Consider the following 1,871-nt stretch of genomic DNA (forward strand, 5'->3'; position numbering starts at 1 on the left):
TTAGTTCTGTTTATGTGATGAATCACATTTACTGATTACATATATTGAACCAACCTTGGATCCCAGAGGTGAAGTCTACTTGTTTGTGGTGGATAAGCTTTGAGATGTGCCACTAGATGCAATTTGTTGAGGAATTTTTCACTGATGTTCATCAAGGATATTGGCCTGAAGTTTTCTTTTGTGTGTGTGTGTGTGTGTGTGTGTGTCTGCCAGGTTTTGGTATCAGGATACTTGCCTTATACAATGAGTTAGGGAGGAGTCTCTTCAATTTTTTGAAATACATTGAGAAGGGAAGGTACCAGCTCTTCTTTGTACATCTGGTAAAATTCAACTGTGAATCTGTCTAGATCTGGGCCTTTTTAGTTAGTAGGTGATATGGTTTTGCTGTATCCCCACCCAGATCTTATCTTGAATTGTAATTCTCATAATCCCTACATTTCCTGGGAAGGACCCAGTGGGAGGTAATTGAATCATGGGGCCAGTTACCTCCATGCTGTTCTCATGATAGTGAGTGAGTTCTCACAAGATCTGAAGATTTTATAAAGGGCTTTCCCCATCTTCTGTCTACAATTCTCCTTGCTGCCACCATGTGAAGAAGGACATATTTGCTTCCCCTTATGCCATGATTGTAAGTTTCCTGAGGCCTCCCAAGCCATGCTGAACTTTGAGTCAATTAATCCTCTTTTTTTAATATAAATTACACAGCAACATGGCTGTTTATTTCACCTGGGTGCAGGTGGGCTGAGTCCGAAAAGAGAGTCAGTGAAGGGAGATGGGGTGGGGCCGTTTTACAGGATTTGGGTAGGTAAAGGAAAATTACAGTCAAAGGGGGTTTGTTCTCTGGCGGGCAGGAGTGGGAGTCGCAAGGTGCTCAGTGGGGGTGCTTTTTGAGCCAGGATGAGCCAGGAAAAGGACTTTCACAAGGTAATGTCATCACTTAAGGCAAGGACCGACCATTTACACTTCTTTTGTGGTGGAATGTTATCAGTTAAGGTGGGGAAGGGCATATTCACTTCTTTTGTGATTCTTCAGTTACTTCAGGCCATCTGGGCATATACGTGCAAGTCACAGGGGATGCGATGGCTTGGCTTGGGCTCAGAGGCCTGACATTCCTGCCTTCTTATATTAATAAGAAAAATAAAACAAAATAGTGTTGAAGTGTTGGGGCGGCAAAAATTTTTGTGGGGTGGTATGGAGAGAGAATGGGCGATGTTTCTCAGGGCTGCTTCAAGCGGGATTAGGGGCGGCGTGGGAACCTAGAGTGGGAGAGATTAAGCTGAAGGAAGGTCTTGTGGTAAGGGGTGATATTGTGGGGATGTTAGAAGAAACATTTGTCGTATAGAATGACTGGTGATGGCCTGGATACGGTTTTGGCTAAGAATTGGGATGACTCTGGATATCTGATTAGAGAGTGCCTAAGGAGATTCAGCATAGTCCTGCCAGCAAAGATTATTTATTTACTTCAAGAGTTAAGAGTGGCAGTTTGGGGATAGCACCAGGAGATATCAGCTGTGATGGCTTGGAAAAACAGTGTAAACTGGCAGTGTAAACAAGAGCAGGGCATGTATGAGTAGTTGAGAACGGTGAACAGGAGTATGACTAGACAGGAGATAGTAGGGATGACAAGTTTTTTGGGGCACAGTCTAAGTTGGTCTGGTGTCTGGAATGAGACTGGGGCCTAATAAAAAGGAGTGTCTATACAGGAGCTTAAATGGGCTGTACCCTGTAGCATTCTAAGGACAGGCCTGAATTCTGAGAAGGGAAAGTGGTAAAAGTATTGTCCATTCCTTTTTAAGTTGGTGGCTGAGCTTGGTGAGGTGTGTTTTTAAAAGACCTTTAGTCCATTTGACTTTTCTTGAAGACGGAGGACC

The 1,871-nt window shown here is 43.7% G+C and overlaps 1 annotated feature.

Moving 5' to 3' along the window:
- Window positions 306–1,116: an enhancer, noted in NCBI's record as "OCT4-NANOG-H3K27ac hESC enhancer chr6:94539476-94540286 (GRCh37/hg19 assembly coordinates)". NCBI's record gives its function as "activates a minimal SCP1, AML or CMV promoter by ChIP-STARR-seq in naive and primed H9 embryonic stem cells {active_cell/tissue: H9 hESC(naive and primed)}" and the evidence as "EXISTENCE:reporter gene assay evidence [ECO:0000049][PMID:30033119]".

The sequence above is a fragment of the Homo sapiens genome, chromosome 6 (assembly GCF_000001405.40).
Source record: "Homo sapiens chromosome 6, GRCh38.p14 Primary Assembly".
In the NCBI taxonomy this organism is placed as follows: domain Eukaryota; kingdom Metazoa; phylum Chordata; class Mammalia; order Primates; family Hominidae; genus Homo; species Homo sapiens.